The following is a 3,171-nucleotide window of genomic DNA, read 5'->3' as shown; positions in this document are numbered from 1 at the left end:
CAGGCACCATAATAAGTGTTTTATAATTAATTAGTCTTTACTACAACCCTGGGAGATGATAGAATTGGAGGTGGCTATTGTTTTTCCCATTTTATGCAAGAGGGAAATGAGGTTAAGTAACTCCACTAAGGTCATAAAACTAGCAGGTGGCCAAGCCGTAGAGTCAAGCCAAGGTCTGACACCCATAGCCTGGCTCTTAACCACTGCATCCCAGCAGTTTCCATTTACAGAGATGTAGCCAGTTACTGTAATTAAAATCATTAGAGATCTAATGACTTCGAACTCAATTTTGACTCAATATGCACAGAAATCATAATTGACTCAATATGTACTGATGCTATAATACTCAAGGCATTGCTAGTCAAAGCCATGATTCCAACCATATTTACCTTGTATCTGTGTATATACACAGGGCTGCACTTCTCACCTTTGCACCATCAACAGAGACATTGGCTAATCTTTGGTCAGGGCAACACCACTTCAGTAATTTCTTTTCTGTTTTTTTTTTTTTTTTTCTTTTTTCTCCTCTCTAGACAGTTGGTGCAGAAGGGGGGCAATAGGTTATTTACTGTCTGCCATCATGTTGCAAATCGGGTTCACTGATCAATTTTTTTAAATATGAAAAGCTATTAAGAGTATGAACTTTATTCCTTTTGGCTTCAGTCATTCCTGTGGGTTTTTATATGAAGCCATACATTGTAGTTGTTAAGAATGTGGGCTTTAGAACCAGGCTGCCTGGGTTCAAATTCTGACCCCGCTACTTACTAGTTATACGACTTTGGGCAAATTATTTGACCTTTATGTGCCTTGGTTTCCTCAGCTGAAAAAAATGGAGAAACAACAGGAACTACCTCAGTGTTAGGATGAGGATTAAATGTAAAGTAGTTGAAACAGTGTTTGACACAGTGTTGTTATCATAGTGTTATTATGAGGATTAAATGTAAAGTAGTTGAAACAGTATTGATAACAATTGAATGCTTATTCTTACTAATATTTTCATTGTTTACTTCTGAATAGTCTCTAACTGCAGGGTTGTTTTTCTGAATCAAGAATTTTATTGTAAAACTTCTAAGTGATTAGTATATTTTTGTTTATTTTTACTTTTTCCAGGTTTATTACATATTTTAAACAGAACATAACAAAAATTTCAAAACCATAAGTCTTATAAGGATTTCAGTAATCCAATACCTCAACAAATTTTGGTGCAGAAACATTTGAGAATGTCTATTTTCTAAAGAATAGAAAATTATTTGTGTTCACATTGATCTCTATTAAATCATCCTTGTTTATGTTAATTTTCTAATACTCTATACTTTTTAGCCTACTCAATCTGAAAATCAGAAACTCTCCATAATCTCTAGATACATGTATTTTGGATTTTTTTTTTTTTTTTGAGATGGAGTTTCGCTCTTGTTGCCCAGGCTGGGGTGCAACGGAGCAGTCTCAGCTCACCACAACATCTGCCTCCCAGGTTCAAGCACATCTCCTGCCTCAGCCTCCCGAGTAGCTGGGATTACAGGCATGCACCACCACACCCGGCTAATTTTGTATTTTTAGTAGAGACAGGGTTTCTCCATGTTGGTCAGGCTGGTCTCAAACTCCCGACCTCAGCTGATCTGCCCGCCTCGGCCTCCCAAAGTGCTGGGATTATGGGTGTGAGCCACTGCACCTGACTGATTTAGGTGTTTTATTAAAACAATCTTTGCTTTGTAGTTACTGGATTCTTCTGATCCTTGCTGAGGGAAATATTTTTTTATTGAATTATTCTTTTTCCTGTCTTTTATTACTGTTTTCTCAGAATCTCTGAGAGTCAAATTTTGGTTTAAGATTAGGGACACTTTATAGGAGCTAGAAGAGCAAGGTATTCTTCCTGTCACTGGATTGGCACCAGCAGAAACAGGGACTGAAACATTGAGATACTGCAATAAGAAGGTGGTGGAAACATACAGTTAAGCTTGTTCTTGCTCATTTTTAAACCATAATATTTCTTTGGCTCCAAATAACACAACAGCTTTCCTCCTCCTCCTCCTCCCTCTCCTCCCTCTCCTCCTCCTCCCTCTCCTCCTCCTCCCTCTCCTCCTCCTCCCTCTCCTCCTCCTCCCTCTCCTCCTCCTCCCTCTCCTCCTCCTCCCTCTCCTCCTCCTCCCTCTCCTCCTCCTCCCTCTCCTCCTCCTCCCTCTCCTCCTGGCATCCCTAGGAGGAAGCCAAAAGAGCCAAGGGGAAATCAGATTCTACATGAAGAGGTAAGAACACTCTGCCAAGCCTTATTAACTGGGAGCAGCCTGCTCTCTCGTAGGGCAACTCTTCAGAGATTGTGTTTCATGACATTGCAGACATGGTGCCTGCTTATTCTCAGGCTTCCACGAGAATTTTTCCTCTCCACACTCTACCTATGAAAGTTGCTAGGCAGCCAGGAGATAAAAGTGTTAGAGGATGTGACCGTTTTCTTGCAAGTTTTTCTCTGTTTCTACCTACACAGAGCAAAGAAGCTTTCCTGTAGGGATTTATCTTCAAAAGCAAAGCATTCTTGTCTTTGCTTCTCTGCCTACGTTATTAGCAGTAATGGAATGGCCCAGTTTTCTAAGACTACAAAATCAAGGGAGCACAACTTCTGCATTTAACTGCCTGTGCTGTACCTCCTGCCTTGAATGCCTTCACCTGCCATGGAAGGACTTTGAAGGTTGCTTAGTACAGGGGTTGGTAGTTCACTAGTGGAGGGAGTTGATTTGCTGCCAGACATTCTCTTATGCAGCCAGTCCCTTCATTCCCACATGGTCGCTGTTCTTTTTATAATGATGACACCCTTGCCTGCCTTCAGCTGGACCGGTCTTTTGAACTCTTGATCCAGTAGTGGTGATGGCCTTGCTCTTACACACTACTCTTTATCTACCAATCACTACAGTGTATCAGAAGAGCAACTATCTGGTATAAGAGAAAAAACTTTAGCAGGGTTTGATTCTCTTGTTCTTTTACCTACCGAAATCTTATCTTTGCAAGACAAGTTTAAACACTACTTCTGTTTTTATCCTTTATCTAACTTAATTTCCCACTACACGATGCTATGAAATTCAAGGAACTCATCATATACTGCCCTTGTAGTTGTCAGTGAGAATGTTTTATTTTACTTTATTTTGTATGTATCTTTGGGGAAACAAACTAAATGCCTTTTAT

At 40.1% G+C, this 3,171-nt stretch overlaps 1 annotated feature.

The window, feature by feature from the left end:
* Positions 2,149-2,652: an enhancer, noted in NCBI's record as "H3K4me1 hESC enhancer chr14:34366891-34367394 (GRCh37/hg19 assembly coordinates)". NCBI's record gives its function as "activates a minimal SCP1, AML or CMV promoter by ChIP-STARR-seq in primed H9 embryonic stem cells {active_cell/tissue: H9 hESC(primed)}" and the evidence as "EXISTENCE:reporter gene assay evidence [ECO:0000049][PMID:30033119]".

The sequence above is a fragment of the Homo sapiens genome, chromosome 14 (genome assembly GCF_000001405.40).
Source record: "Homo sapiens chromosome 14, GRCh38.p14 Primary Assembly".
NCBI classification, from domain to species: domain Eukaryota; kingdom Metazoa; phylum Chordata; class Mammalia; order Primates; family Hominidae; genus Homo; species Homo sapiens.
Note: the sequence above shows the minus strand (reverse complement) of the source record. Positions and strands in the feature narration are given on the sequence as shown.